Source organism: Homo sapiens, chromosome 3 (assembly GCF_000001405.40).
Source record: "Homo sapiens chromosome 3, GRCh38.p14 Primary Assembly".
Taxonomy (NCBI): Eukaryota; Metazoa; Chordata; class Mammalia; order Primates; family Hominidae; genus Homo; species Homo sapiens.
The window spans coordinates 19,904,532-19,917,696 of record NC_000003.12 but is presented as its reverse complement, the minus strand read 5'-3'; the positions used below and the strand labels follow the sequence as shown (position 1 = coordinate 19,917,696).

The 13,165-nt window shown below is 38.6% G+C and overlaps 1 protein-coding gene across 7 annotated transcripts in view, besides 8 other annotated features; it reads left to right on the top strand.

The window, feature by feature from the left end:
• The window catches only part of EFHB (EF-hand domain family member B), a 67,512-nt gene that overhangs the window by 29,287 nt on the left and 25,060 nt on the right, over window positions 1-13,165 (top strand). For all 7 annotated transcript variants that reach the window (XR_940383.3, NM_001330688.2, XM_011533385.3 and 4 more), the window contains 2 exons: window positions 2,284-2,394; window positions 11,948-12,077. Coding sequence is in view for 6 of the 7 variants with exons in the window: in NM_001330688.2 (NP_001317617.1) it covers window positions 2,284-2,394; window positions 11,948-12,077 (241 nt within the window). In the remaining variant the exon portion in view is untranslated. The remainder of the gene's footprint in view (window positions 1-2,283; window positions 2,395-11,947; window positions 12,078-13,165) is intronic.
• Window positions 2,110-2,279: an enhancer, noted in NCBI's record as "experimental_67694 CRE fragment used in MPRA reporter constructs". NCBI's record gives its function as "activates a minimal promoter by MPRAs in K562 erythroleukemia cells, with activity observed for the introgressed 3:19956995 variant allele {active_cell/tissue: K562}" and the evidence as "EXISTENCE:reporter gene assay evidence [ECO:0000049][PMID:34662402]".
• Window positions 2,781-2,950: an enhancer, noted in NCBI's record as "experimental_67692 CRE fragment used in MPRA reporter constructs". NCBI's record gives its function as "activates a minimal promoter by MPRAs in K562 erythroleukemia cells, with activity observed for both the introgressed and non-introgressed 3:19956324 variant alleles {active_cell/tissue: K562}" and the evidence as "EXISTENCE:reporter gene assay evidence [ECO:0000049][PMID:34662402]".
• Window positions 7,844-8,013: an enhancer, noted in NCBI's record as "experimental_67689 CRE fragment used in MPRA reporter constructs". NCBI's record gives its function as "activates a minimal promoter by MPRAs in K562 erythroleukemia cells, with activity observed for both the introgressed and non-introgressed 3:19951261 variant alleles {active_cell/tissue: K562}" and the evidence as "EXISTENCE:reporter gene assay evidence [ECO:0000049][PMID:34662402]".
• Window positions 7,844-8,048: a biological region, named in NCBI's record as "Neanderthal introgressed variant-containing enhancers experimental_67687 and experimental_67689".
• Window positions 7,879-8,048: an enhancer, noted in NCBI's record as "experimental_67687 CRE fragment used in MPRA reporter constructs". NCBI's record gives its function as "activates a minimal promoter by MPRAs in K562 erythroleukemia cells, with activity observed for both the introgressed and non-introgressed 3:19951226 variant alleles {active_cell/tissue: K562}" and the evidence as "EXISTENCE:reporter gene assay evidence [ECO:0000049][PMID:34662402]".
• Window positions 8,862-9,031: an enhancer, noted in NCBI's record as "experimental_67685 CRE fragment used in MPRA reporter constructs". NCBI's record gives its function as "activates a minimal promoter by MPRAs in K562 erythroleukemia cells, with activity observed for the introgressed 3:19950243 variant allele {active_cell/tissue: K562}" and the evidence as "EXISTENCE:reporter gene assay evidence [ECO:0000049][PMID:34662402]".
• Window positions 11,599-11,768: an enhancer, noted in NCBI's record as "experimental_67680 CRE fragment used in MPRA reporter constructs". NCBI's record gives its function as "activates a minimal promoter by MPRAs in K562 erythroleukemia cells, with activity observed for the introgressed 3:19947506 or rs56004950 variant allele {active_cell/tissue: K562}" and the evidence as "EXISTENCE:reporter gene assay evidence [ECO:0000049][PMID:34662402]".
• Window position 11,683: a transcriptional cis regulatory region, noted in NCBI's record as "Neanderthal adaptively introgressed variant 3:19947506 (GRCh37/hg19 assembly coordinates) or rs56004950 in the experimental_67680 CRE". NCBI's record gives its function as "modulates activity of the experimental_67680 enhancer by MPRAs in K562 erythroleukemia cells {active_cell/tissue: K562}" and the evidence as "EXISTENCE:reporter gene assay evidence [ECO:0000049][PMID:34662402]".

Here is a 13,165-nt window from a genome sequence, read left to right as displayed (position 1 = left end):
AACAAATAACTCATTAGAGTTGATCACAGGCCATTCTTCCCTCTGAAGACCCAGGTTCCTGCCATGTTGTTGGGTACCTTTCTTTACACCTTTCTCAGATTTCTCTCCTCTACTCTTTTTCAGGTTATCCCCTCCCTCTAGGAGTCTTACCATAGGAGATCTCAAATTCCATCTTTCTTTATTTTGTGGAGAAATTCTCTCTTTGTCTTTCCATACCCATTGAGGCTCTCTTCCAGGAACCTTAGCTTTGTTCACCGAAAGGCTCATTAGATTATTTTCCTTAAGGTAGTGACATCTACTCTGAAGATAGATTATACTTTGGAATGTAAAATCTGGAGTTGTACCTTATTGCATCATATCTGAAGTTTTAAAAAATATGACACATGAAAAATGTATTTTACAGTAGATTAAATATCCTTTCCTTTTTATGTTTCTATATATATGAAACATATATATTTATATTTATAAACTATATATATTTATATTTATATAGAGGCTGGGGTCTCACCATGTTTCCAGGCTGGTCTCAAGCTCCTGGACTCAAATGATTCTCCCACCTTGGCCTCCCAGACTGCTGGGATTACAGGTGTGAGTGACTATTCCCTGCCTCTTCTTTTCGATAGGTTTAAGAAATCCGATGTATATGAACTGTTAGACATGGCATTATTTTAGGATTAGTTTATTTAATGTGGAAAGTATTCTCTAAGTGTTCCTCATTTAAATATATAAAAGAAACAATGTTTCAAAAAATGTATATATCTGTATTATTAAGTGTAATGTTCATATATCAAAAAGAAGTTCTGCTTTACAGGATTATTTTGATTGGAATCATCTTCTGGTATTCTTAACTATTCGTTTATATAACTCAATTCTTAGCAGAAAGGCCAAAAGAAAGGAAATTTCTTAATCTATGTTGTTAGGTCGAAAGGGAAGAGTGAAATTGTAAATGGAGTTACATTTACAAATTATTATCTAAAACAGTAAAAACAAAATTATTCACTGTACACAAAACTGGGTACCACTAGTCATGGGAATGCAGCTATTAAACAAACATCTTTTCCAGATTTAGGACCAGTAGAAGAATTTCTCCCTGATTCCAGTGATTTCCCTGGTACCTCTGGCTACATTGAGGATACAGATTCATTTTTTAAATTAATTAATTAATGAATTAATTTTTTTTTTGAGACGGAGTCTCACTCTGTTGCCCAGGCTGGAGTGCAGTGTCGTGATCTTGGCTCCCTGCAACCTCTGCCTCCCAGGTTCAAGCGATTCTCCTGCCTCAGCCCCCCGAGTAGCTGGGATTACAGGCGTGTGCCACCACGCCTGTCTAATTTTTGTATTTTTAGTAGAGACAGGGTTTCACCATGTTGCTCAGGCTGGTCTTGAACTCCCGACCCCAGATGATCCACCCACCTCAGCCTCCCAAAGTGCTGGGATTACAGGCCTGAGCCACTGAGCCCAGCCTGGGAATACAGATTCAGATCAAAACAGACACAGGGTGTATGCTTCCATCTAAAACTGCCAAAATTTACACCATGGCTACCCCACAGGGCATTAGGGGTTCTAATTTGTGGTTCAGATTTGTTTAGATCATCTTGAGAAGTCTGCAGCAAACTAAAATAAAAATTGTACAGAGATTCTCAGGATCAGGAATTTAACTGTGCTTGGAGTATGGCTTACCACAACTAAACAGTTAACTGATAATATAGTTTTTTTTTGAGATGAAAGTTTCGCTCTGTTGCCCAGGCTGGAGTACAGTGGTGCCATCTCGGCTCACTGCAACCTCCACCTCCCGGATTCAAGTAATTCTTCTGCCTCAGCCTCCTGAGTAAAGTAGCTGGGACCACAGGCACGTGCTTCCACACCTGGCTAATTTTTGTATTTTCAGTAGAGATGGCGTTTCACCATGTTGTCCAGGCTGGATTTTTTTTTTTTTTTTAGTAGAAATGGGGTTTCACCATGTTGGCCAGGCTGATCTCGAACTCCTGACTTCAGGTGATCCACCCTCCTTGGCCTCCCAAAGTGCTGAGATTACACACGTGAGCCATTGCTCCCAGCCAGTGATAATAGAGTTCTAATATGCTCTGACTTATAGGGGATGAGCCAGGTCAAGTGGGCTTCCCTTTCTTGATAAATCATTTATGTTGGCTTTGTGATCTCTCGGGATGTCTATGTAGCCTTGCATCCAGCATACCTAATTTCTCATTTGTTCTAGTCAATATAAACGTATTATAAATAGGTTAAAAAGTGACTTGGAACTGATTTTATTAATTCTTCCTTCAGAATACTCTGCTAAAGATGTGGTGAATCCACCAAAATCCTATGAAGAAGTATTTAAAGAAGGAAATGAAGGACATGATTTGTATGTTGTTTCTCACAATGATTATTATGCAGGTAAGTGTCCTCCGATGCAAAATGGGCCTGAGGATATGGGACTCTCGGATTTGTGAAGAGGAATAAAGGAAATTGGTACATAAAGTTAAATGCCTGCCATGTAATAGGTAACTAATACAATATTATTCATAAGGTCATAAACCATGATAGCTGGGAAAACCTGTACTGCATATACTTACGGTTTTTAAAAAAATTTTATTTAAATTTTTTTTTTTAGACAGGGGTCTCTGTTGCCCATGTTGGAGTGCAGTGGTATGATCATGGTTCATTGCAGTCTCCACCTCCTAGGCTCAAGCAATCCTTCCACCTTAGCCTCCTGAACAGCTGAGACTACAGGTGTGCACCACCACGCCTGGCTAATTTTTTGAGTTTTTAAATAGATATGAGGTCTTCCTATGTTGTCCACGCTGTTCTGAAACTCCTGAGCTCAAGCGATCCTCCCACCTTGGCCTCCGAAAGTGCTGGGATTACAGGCATGCACCACTGCACTCAGCTCAAGACTTATTCTAAATGCTTAATTTTATATTAAGAATATTGGGTGATGGTCAAGTTCACAAATTTTTGAATCAGATCAGGTTCAAATCCTAGCTCATCCATTTACTATCTTTTAAAATTTGGGCAATTTACTTATTTGATCATTATATATTCTTATCTCTTAAATGGGTATAGTAATATAGTGAGGATTGAGTAGATGTCAGATGCTTAACATAGCACCTGGAACAGAGTTAAGTGCTGATAATTATTAGCTATTATTATTATTATTATTAGCGATCTTGTCTTAAAGTTTCATGTCTAGTAGCGTATTACTAGAATTATTCCATAGCACAATTAAAAAGGCATTAGATGTTTATAGTGCTATAAAATAAAACTCAATTGCCAGTATGTTGATGCTAAGTAAAGTCTTGACATAATAAAGGATTGAGAAGTAGACTGATACACGTCCTGAGAAAGCCCTATGGATTGTGCATGGTTTATAAACTCAGTCTTGTGAAAATATTTTATTCACGTTTGAAAAATTTCATGTCTATTGCACAGTCTAATCCAATGCTCTTTAATTGTTTTAAAAGAACTTTGGTCTGGGTGCGGTGGCTCACTCTTGTAATCTCAGCGCCGGATCACTTGAGCCCAGGAGTTTGAGACCAGCCTGGGCAACATAGTGAGAATCTCTATCTACAAAAAATAAATTAAAAAATTAGTCAGGCATGGTGGTGCGTGTCTGTAGTTCCAGCTACTTGGGAGGCTGAGATGGGAGGATTGTTTGAGCCCAGTAGTTCCAGGTTGCAGTGAGCCACGATTGCACTACTGCACTCTAGGCTTGGGCAGATGAATATCCAGTTTTCCCAGCACCATTTATTGAAGAGACTCTCTTTTCCTCAGTGTATGTTCTTGGCACCTTTGCCAAAAATGAGTTCACTCTAGGTGTATGGATTTGTTTGGATTCTTTATTCTGTTCCATTGGTCTATGTGTCTGTTTTTCTGCTAGTACCATGCTGTTTTGGTTACTATAGCTCTATAGTATAATTTGAAGTCAAGTAATGTGATTACTCTAGTTTTGATCTTTTTACTTTGGCTATTCTGGGTATTTTGTGGTTTCATATACACTTTAGGATTTTTTAAAATATTTGTGTGAAGGATGTCATTGGTAATTTGGTAGGGTTTGCATTGAATCTGTAGATTGCTTTTGGTAGTATGGACATTTTAACAATATTGATTCTTCCAATCCATGAACATAAAATAGTTTTTGATTTTTTGGTGTCCTGCTCAATTTCTTTCATCAGTGTTTTATAGTTTTCATTATAGAAATCTTTGATTAAGTTAATTCCTAGATATTTAATTTTATGTGTGGCTATTGTGTTTAATACATGGGATTACTTTTTAAATTTCTTTTTCACATCATTCACTGTTGGTATATAGAAATGCTACTGATTTTTGTATGTTTATTTTGTATCTTGTAACTTTACTGAATTTATCAGTTCTAATAGTTTTCTTGTGGAGTCTTTAGGTTTTTCTAAATATAAGATCATATCATCTGCAAATAAGGGTAATTTGGCCTCTTTCTTTCCAATTTGCATGCCCTTCATATCTTTCTCTTGTCTGGTTGCTCTAGCTTGGACTTCCAGTATGAAGGAAGAACTTTCAGTCTTTCCCCATTCAGTATCATACTAGCTGGGGTTCTGTTGTATACGGCTTTTATTATGTTGAGGTGTGTTCCTTCTATATCCAGTGTGTTGAGGGTTTTTATTATTACAGGCATTAGCCACTGCTAATGTTGAATTGCTACTATTATTATTACAGGCATTAGCCACTGCTAATGTTGAAGGGATGTTGAATTTTATCAGATGCTTTTTCAGCATAAATTGAAATGATCATATGGTTTTTTACTCTTCATTCTGTTGATATGATATATCCCATTGATTGATTTGCATATGCTGAAAAATACTTGGGTCCCAGAGATAAATCCCATGAGACTTGCAAATATTATCTTAAACCCATTATTTTAACCTGATAACAACTTAACACTATTTGCATAAACAAACAACAAAGAAAAATAAAATAAAAACTCTATGCCTTAACTTTCTCCCCTTAACTTTTTAACCCTGTTGTTTCTATTTATATCTTATTATAATCTCTATGTCTTGAAAAGTTGTTGTAGTTACTATTTTTGATTGGTTGATTGTTTAGTCTATCTACTCGGGATAAGAGTAGTTTGGATACCACAGTTACGGTGTTATACTACTCTGTGTGTTTCTGTGTGCTTACTATTATCAGTGAGTTTTGCACCTTCAGGTGATTATTCATTGCTTATTATTATTATTTTTCTTTCTGATTGAAATTGAAGTACTCCCTTAAGCATTTCTTGTAGGACAGGTCTGGTATTTATGAAATCCCTCTGCTTTTTTTTTGGCCTGTGAGAGTCTTTATTTCTTCATCATGTGTGAAGGATATTTTCAGCAGATAAGATATACTATTCTAGAATAAAAGTTTCTTCTCTTCAGCACTTTAAATATGTCATGGCACTCTCTCCTGGACTGTAAAGTTTCCACTGAAAAGTCTACTGCCAGATTTATTGAAGCTCCATTGTATGTTGTTTCTTTTCTCTCACTGCTTTTAGATTCCTTTCTTCATCCTTGACCTTTGGGAGTTGGATTATTCAATGTCTTGAGGTAGTCTTCTTTGGGTTAAATCTGCTTGGTGTTCTATAACCTTCTTGTACTTGGATATTGATATCTTTCTCTAGGTTTGGGAAGTTCTCTGTTATCCCTTTGAATAAACTTTCTACTCCTATCTCTTTCTCTATTTTCTCCTTAAGGGCAATAACTTTAAAAATAAAATAAAATTAAAAAATAAAAAATAATAATAAATTTAGTCTCACTATGTTGCTCAGGCTAGTCTCGAATTCCTGGGCTCAAGTGATCTTTGCACCTTGGCCTCCCAAAGTACTGGGATTACAAATGTGAGCCACCATGCTTGGCAAGGCCAATAACTCTTAGATTTGCCCCTTTTAGACTATTTTTCTGTATCTTTTAGTTGTACTTCATTCTTTAAATTTTTTTTCTTTTGTCTTCTCTGATTGTATTTTCAAATAGCCTCTCTGCAAGCTCATTAACTCTTTCTTCTGCTTGATCAATTCTGCTGTTGAGAGACTGATGTACTTTTCAGTTTGTCAATTGAATTTTTCAGTTCCAGAATTTCTGCTTGATTCTTTTTGTTTTTGTTTGTTGTTGTTGTTTTGTTTTTGTTTTTTGAAATGGAGTCTCACTCTGTTGCTCAGGCTGGAGTCCAGTGGTGTGCTCTTGGCTCACTGCAACCTCTGCCTCCCAGGTTCAAGTGATTCTCCTGTCTCAGCCTCCTCAGTAGCAGGGATTACAGGCACCATCACGCCTGGCTAATTTTTATATTTTTAGTAGAGATGGGGTTTCACCATGTTGGCCAGGCTGGTCTTGAACTCCTGGCCTTAAGTGATCTACCCACCTTGGCCTCCCAAAGTGCTCAGATTACAGGTGTGAGCTACCACGCCTGGCCTTTGCTTGATTCTTTTTAATTATTTCAGTCTCTTTCTTAAATTTACCTGATAGAATTTTGAATTCCTTCTCTGTGTTATCTTAAATTTATTTGAGTTTCCTCAACACAGCTATTTTGAATTCTCTATCTGAAAGGACATATAGCTCTGTTGCTCCATGATTGTTCCTTGGTGTCTTATTTAGTTTATTTAGTGAGGTCATATTTTCCTAGATGGTGCTGATGCTTGTAGATGTTCCTTGGTGTCTGGCATTGAACAGTTAGGTATTTATTGTAGTCCTCACTGTCTGTGCTTATTTGTACCCATTCATCTTGGAAATGCTTTCCAGATATTTGAAAGGACTTGTGTGTTGTGATCTAAGCTGTATCTGCTTTAGGGGGCACCCCAAGCCCAGTAACACTGGTTTTTGCAAACTTGTAGAGGTACTGCCTTGATGGACTTGGACAAGATCTGGGAGAATTCCCTGGGTTACAAGGCAGAGGCTCATGTTCTTTTCCTTTACTTTCTCCTAAACATACAGTCTTTCTCTCGGTTCTGAGCCACCTAAAGCTGGGGGTTGAGTGACACAAGTACCCCTGTGGCCACCACTGCTGACTGTATTGGATCAGACTTGAAGCTAGTGTAGCATTTGGTCTCACCCAAGTCCTGCTGTACTCAACCTCTGGCTGCAGCCTACGTTCACTCAAGGTCCTGGGGCTCTACAATTAACAGGTGGTAAAGCCAGCCAGGCCTGTGTCCTTCCCTTCAGGGTGGTGAGGTCCCCCAGGCCCTGGGTGGGTACAGAAGTACTGTCTGGGAGTCAAGGACTAGAGTCAAAAATTTTAGACGTCTACCAGGTATTCTACTGTATTGCAGCTGAGCTGGCACTCAAACCACAAGATACAGTCTTTCCCACTCTTCCCTCCCCCTCCCAAAGACAGAGGAACCTCACTGGGTAGCCACCGCCACCCCAGGCCATGAGGAATACTGCCAGACTACCACCAATGTTCTCTTAAGGCCCAAGGTCTCTTAAGTCAGCTTGAAGTTAATGGCCTGGGACTTACCCTTCAGGGAAGTGGATTCCTCTATGGCCCAGAGCAGGTCTAGAAATGCTATTCAAGAGCCAAGTCCTGGAATCAGGAACCCTAAGAGCCTGCTTCGTGCTCTGCTCCCCTGTGGCCATGCTGGTACCCAAGGTGTAGGACAAAGTTCCCCTTACTTTTCCCTCTACTTTTCTCAAGCAGAAGGAGTTTTGCTCTGTAGCTACCACAGCTGGTAATGTGCTAAGTCTCTTCTGAAGCCAGGAAGTCTCAGAGGCTTACCCAAGGCCCTTGATATACTACCTGGGCCCTGAATAACTGCAGCTGGTTATTCAGGGCCCAAGAGCTCTTCGGTTAGCAGGTGATGAATGCTGCCAGGATTGGGTTCTTTCCTTCAAGGCAGTGAAGGAAAGACACATCCTTTTGGCCCCGGATGTGTCTAGAAACGTCATCTGCAAACCAGGGCCTGGAATGGCGGCCTCCTGAGTCCCACAGTGCCCTATCTTGCTGTGGCTGAGGTGGTGTCCTAGATGCAAGGTGAAGTCTTCCCTGCTCTTCCCTCTCCTCTCCTCAAGCGGAAGGAAGGGGTCCCTTTTGGAGCCATGAGCGGAGCTGTGCAGCCTGGGGTTAAGGGAGGGGTGATGCCAGCATTCCCTTGGCTGCCCCAGCTGGTGTCCCAGTATGACATGTATCCCACCACCTACCCCACCCCCAGTCCACTGTCTCTGGGCCTGGTTCTGCTCTGGGAGTCGCCTAAGAGTTCCAGTCCTTATGGCCTAGACTGCCTTTCAAGGTTACTTGGAGACACAGAGTGCTGTAGCCCTTGGTGGCGAGGTTTGCAGGCACTCAAGTTTGGACTACTGGGATTGGCAATTCCTTTTCTGGTGGGGCTGATTTAAATGCTGCCTCTGGGGACGGGCATCAGCTGAGTTTGGTTCAGTTTTCCATTCTGCTCTAACAGGAAAGCACTGAGTTTGATACCTCACAATTGCTGTGTTCTCCCTGCCCTGGTGCCAGGAGAAGCTCTGCCCATCACTCTGCTGCTGCCGGGGTTGGGGAGGGGTGGTGTCTGTGATTCAAAACTATTTTTTCTATCTCTTGAGTGCCTTTTTTTTTTCAGTGCTATGAAGTTAAAATCAAGTACTATGAGTTGCCCACCTGATTTTTGAGATGGGCACTCATATCTGTGTAGATAGTTGTCAACTTGGTCCTTGTAGGGGGTGGGGGGCGGGTGTGGGTCTGGGACACGGGACTGGGACATGATCAGTGGAGCTTTCTATTCTGCCGTCTTGCTCCACTTCCTCTCTCTGAACATTTTTTCTAACCCCCATCCATTCAGCCATTAAATCATTAATCATTAAATAAATGGGATAATACTCTCCATGCTTTTAGGGAGCCTGCTCTATATATTTTAAATTTTTTACTTAAATAATATGTAGATAGCAATAAATATGGACCTACAACATTTAAAATACACTTAATACTTTAAAATAACTTAATTTTAATCATTACTAAAGTGATAGATACTTTTATAAAATGAAAGCTATACAGAAATATACAATATACAAAAAATTCCCACAATTCTCTATCTCACACAGAACTTTCTTTTTCTTTCTTTCTTTCTTTCTTTCTTTCTTTCTTTCTTTCTTTCTTTCTTTCTTTCTCTCTCTCTCTCTCTCTCTCTCTCTCTCTCTCTCTCTTTCTCTCTTTCTCTCTTTCTTTCTTTTTTTGAGACGGAGTTTTGCTCTTTCGTCCAGGCTGGAGTGAAGTGGCCTGATCTCGGCTCACTGCAACCTCTGCCTCCTGGGTTCAAGCAATTCTCCTGCCTCAGCCTCCCAAGTAGCTGGGATTACAGGCGCCCGCCACCATGCCTGGCTAATTTCTGTATTTTTAGTAGAGACTGGGTTTCACCGTGTTGGTCAGGCTGGTCTCGAACTTCTAATCTCAGGCGATCCATCTGCCTTGGCCTCCTAAAGTGCTAGGATTACAGGCGTGAGCCACTGCGCCCAGCCGATAATATGTTCATAGATGTTTTTCTTTGCACTTTTGTATATATCAGTATGTATGTTCATTTTGTTCCACATCATATATACATTTTTCCTTTTGCTTTTTTTGTCTTATGAAATATTTTGGAATGTCTTTTCATGTCAGTATCTACATTATATTTTCACTATTACAAAAACATATTGTTGATATACCTTTGTAAATGTGATTGGCTATTTCCTTAAGTTACATTCCTAGATTTCTGAGAAATTTTTACTTTTAGAGCCAAACTGTCAGCTCAAATTACTGCCCAATTTGCCCTTAGACCCAGAGTATGAGAATATCCATTTCTCCACACCCTTCCCAATAATGAGCTCAGCCAATCTTCTTTATTTTTGCTTAACTAAGAGACAATTATAATTTCTTGTTACTTCAATAACAAGACATTTACTGTTTTTATTTACATTATTTGAGTTACTAGTGAGGCTGAATATCTTTACTCCAACATTTCTTACCCTCTTGGTTGTTCTCTAGTTTCAGTCCTACTTTCTTATCTCGAAATAGAAAACTAATACCACATCAAGACTTGAAAAGAAAAAAGCACAGTATTCAGTTTTAAATAAAAAGACTCCTCTGTTGGTTTCTCAGCTCTCAATCACCCTTTGAATGTTTCTAATATGAGGTAAATGAAATATGAGGGTCGCAATGTTCTGATGATCGCACCAAATCTCAGTGAGAACAAGTGCAAAACACCAAACCTCTCAAATCTTAGCATAGTGGAAAGTGCTGCCAGAGACCTAAATCATTGCCATACCTCCCTTGATCTTCAGGATTTCCATAACAATGGTGGAGACCCTGCAGTTTTTCATCATTGATATCTCTTTTTCCCATACAATGTCCTTACTTACTTTCTAAATATTAAAGTTCTTCACCCATTTTAAGAATTGAGCTACATATTTTCTATAAATTTTGAATATTAACCCTCTATCAGATACATAGTTTGCAAATATTTTTTTCCCAACTCATAGGTTGCCTTTTCATTTTGGTGATTGTTTCCTTTGCTATGCAGAAGGTTTTTAATTTGATGTAGTCTCATTTATTTATTTTTGCTTTTGTAGTCTGAGCTTTTGTATCTAAGACATCATTGCCAAGGCCAATGTCAATAAGTTTTTCCTCTATTTTTTCTTCTATGAGTTTTATGGTTTCAGGTCTTAACGTTTAGTTTTTTTTTTTTAATCTATTTTTAGTTGATTTTTGTGTATGGTGTTGCATGTGGAAATCAGGTTTCCCAGGACCATTTATTGAAGAGACTATCCTTGTGTCGTCATTTCTTCTTGCTGCCCTTGTTGAAAATTAGTGTATTGTATATGTTTGGATTTATTTCTGGGCTCTCCATTCTGTTCCACTAGCCTGTATGTCTGTTTTTATGCCAGTACCATACTGTTCTAATTACTACAGCTCTGTAATATAATTTAAATTTAGGATGTGTGATGCCTCTAACTTTTTTCTTTTTCCTAATAATTACTTTGGCTATTCAGAGCCTTTTGTGGTTCTATATAAATTTTTAAGATTTTTTTTTTTCTATTTCTGTGAAGAATGCTATTGGAATTTTGATAGGGATCACATTGAATCTGCATTTTGCTTTGGGTAGTATGAACATTTTAAGAAAATTAATTATTCTGATCAATGAGCATGGAATGAATATCTTCATTTTATTTGTGTCCTCTTCAATTTCTTTCATCATTGTTTTATAGTTTTCAGTGTACAGGTCTTTTACCCCCTTGGTTAAGTTTATTCCTAAGTATTTTTTTATGCTATCATAAATTGAATTATTTTCTTGATTTCTTTTTTGTCTAGGTTGTTATTTTTTATAGAAATGCCATGGACTTTTATGTGTTGATTTTGTATTCTTTGACTTTACTTAATTCACTTATTAGTTCTTTTGTTTTTTGAGAAAGAGCCTCACTCTGTTGCCCAGGCTGGAGTGCAGTGGCACGATCTTGGCTTACCACAACCTCCGCCTCCTGGGTTCAAGCGATTCTCGTGCCTCAGCCTCCGAAGTAGCTGGGATTACAGGTGCATGCCATCATGACCAGCTAATTTTTGAATTTTTAGAGAAGACACGGTTTCACCATGTTGGCCAGACTGGTGAACTGGTCTCGAACTCCTGGCCTCAAGTGATCCACCAGTCTCGGCCTCACAAAGTGCTGGGATTACAGGCATGAGCTACTGTGCCCAGCCAAATTCATTAGTTCTAACAGTTTTTTGATGGAGTCTTTGGAGTTTTTTACATATGTCTTTTCAAATATTAACACAACGTATTGTTGTGTGTAGCATCCCACCAGTCTCCCAGCTCACATGGGGGAATGCTTCTGTCATCTGTAGCTAAATCTGTGCAGTTTCTGCACTGTTACAATTTCATTTTTTGTTCCATTCTCATTTTCAATGTCAATGAGAACATAGTGTGCATCTTGCATGATAAGGTTATTCGTGTTGCTTAAGTCATAAGTCTTCCTTTCTTTTTCCACAGGAGAGGCAAAGAACCGAAAGTATAACCCATCAAGTTTCCATAGGTGTAGTGTGTATGGAGTACCAACACCACATTTTAATGATGGACGAGCCATGGCAAAATCTCTATATTGGCTCCATGAACTACAAATGTAAGTTTAATTATACTGTGCCCAGGAACAAGTGTTAGACATTTGGACTTAAAGAAAAGTTGATTTTTAAACTTTATTTTTTGAAGAGGTAATAAAATGATATGGTTCAAACAAGATGACTAGAAAAAAATAGAAAAAACAGTGTAATGTATTTCACTTCTGACACCCATCCTATCTAGTTCCTACAGAGGTAAAAATGATACTTTTTTTTTTCTATCTTTATTCTGAAGTTGCAAGCAAACATAAAGACATATATGCATGTTTTAATTCTCTGGGATCAACTTTATTTGTGTTTCTTAAATATAATGGACTTTCAAAACTCTACCAAGACAATTGTAATTGACTTGAAATTTATTTATTTATTTATTGAGACAGCATCTTGCTCTATTGCTCAGGCTGGAGTACAGTAGGGCCTTCATAGCTCACTGCAACCTTGAACTCCTGGACTCAAGCTATCCACCTCAGCCTTCTGAATAGCTGGGAATAAAGGCATGAATAACCATCCTGTCTTGACCTGATATTTGTTATTCAGCTTTGTTGAATAGTTATTTGGGCACCTGAGCATCACTCAACTTTTTCAAATTGTGACCTTTTTATCTCTTCATTCTGTAAAGACTACTTCCTTAGAAAACAAAATTGGGTCATTAGTTTTTCATTTCCTGCGTTATATTTTATATCCGAGCCAACACATAAACTTTGGAAGATTGCTCATAAAAGTCTAGATATCTTGTTATGCTTAAAAAAATCAGAAGATTGTGGATACTGGTACCATGGTTTGAACGTTGTAAATACTGGTGCCGCCCCGCCCTCCACAAAAAGATATGTCTATGTCCTGATGGCCAGAACCTATGAATGTTACTTTGTGTGGAAAAAGGGTCTTTGTAGATATAATTAAGGATCTTGGGATGAAGAGATCATTCTGGATTATCTGAGCGGATGTTAAATCCAATGATCAGTATCCATAGAGGGGAAGAAGAAAATTTGATACACAAGAGGAAAAGACATGCAGAAGGGAAGGTATGTGAAGATGGAGATAGACATTGGTGTGATGTGCCTATAACCAAGGAATGCGAAGTAATGCCAACAGC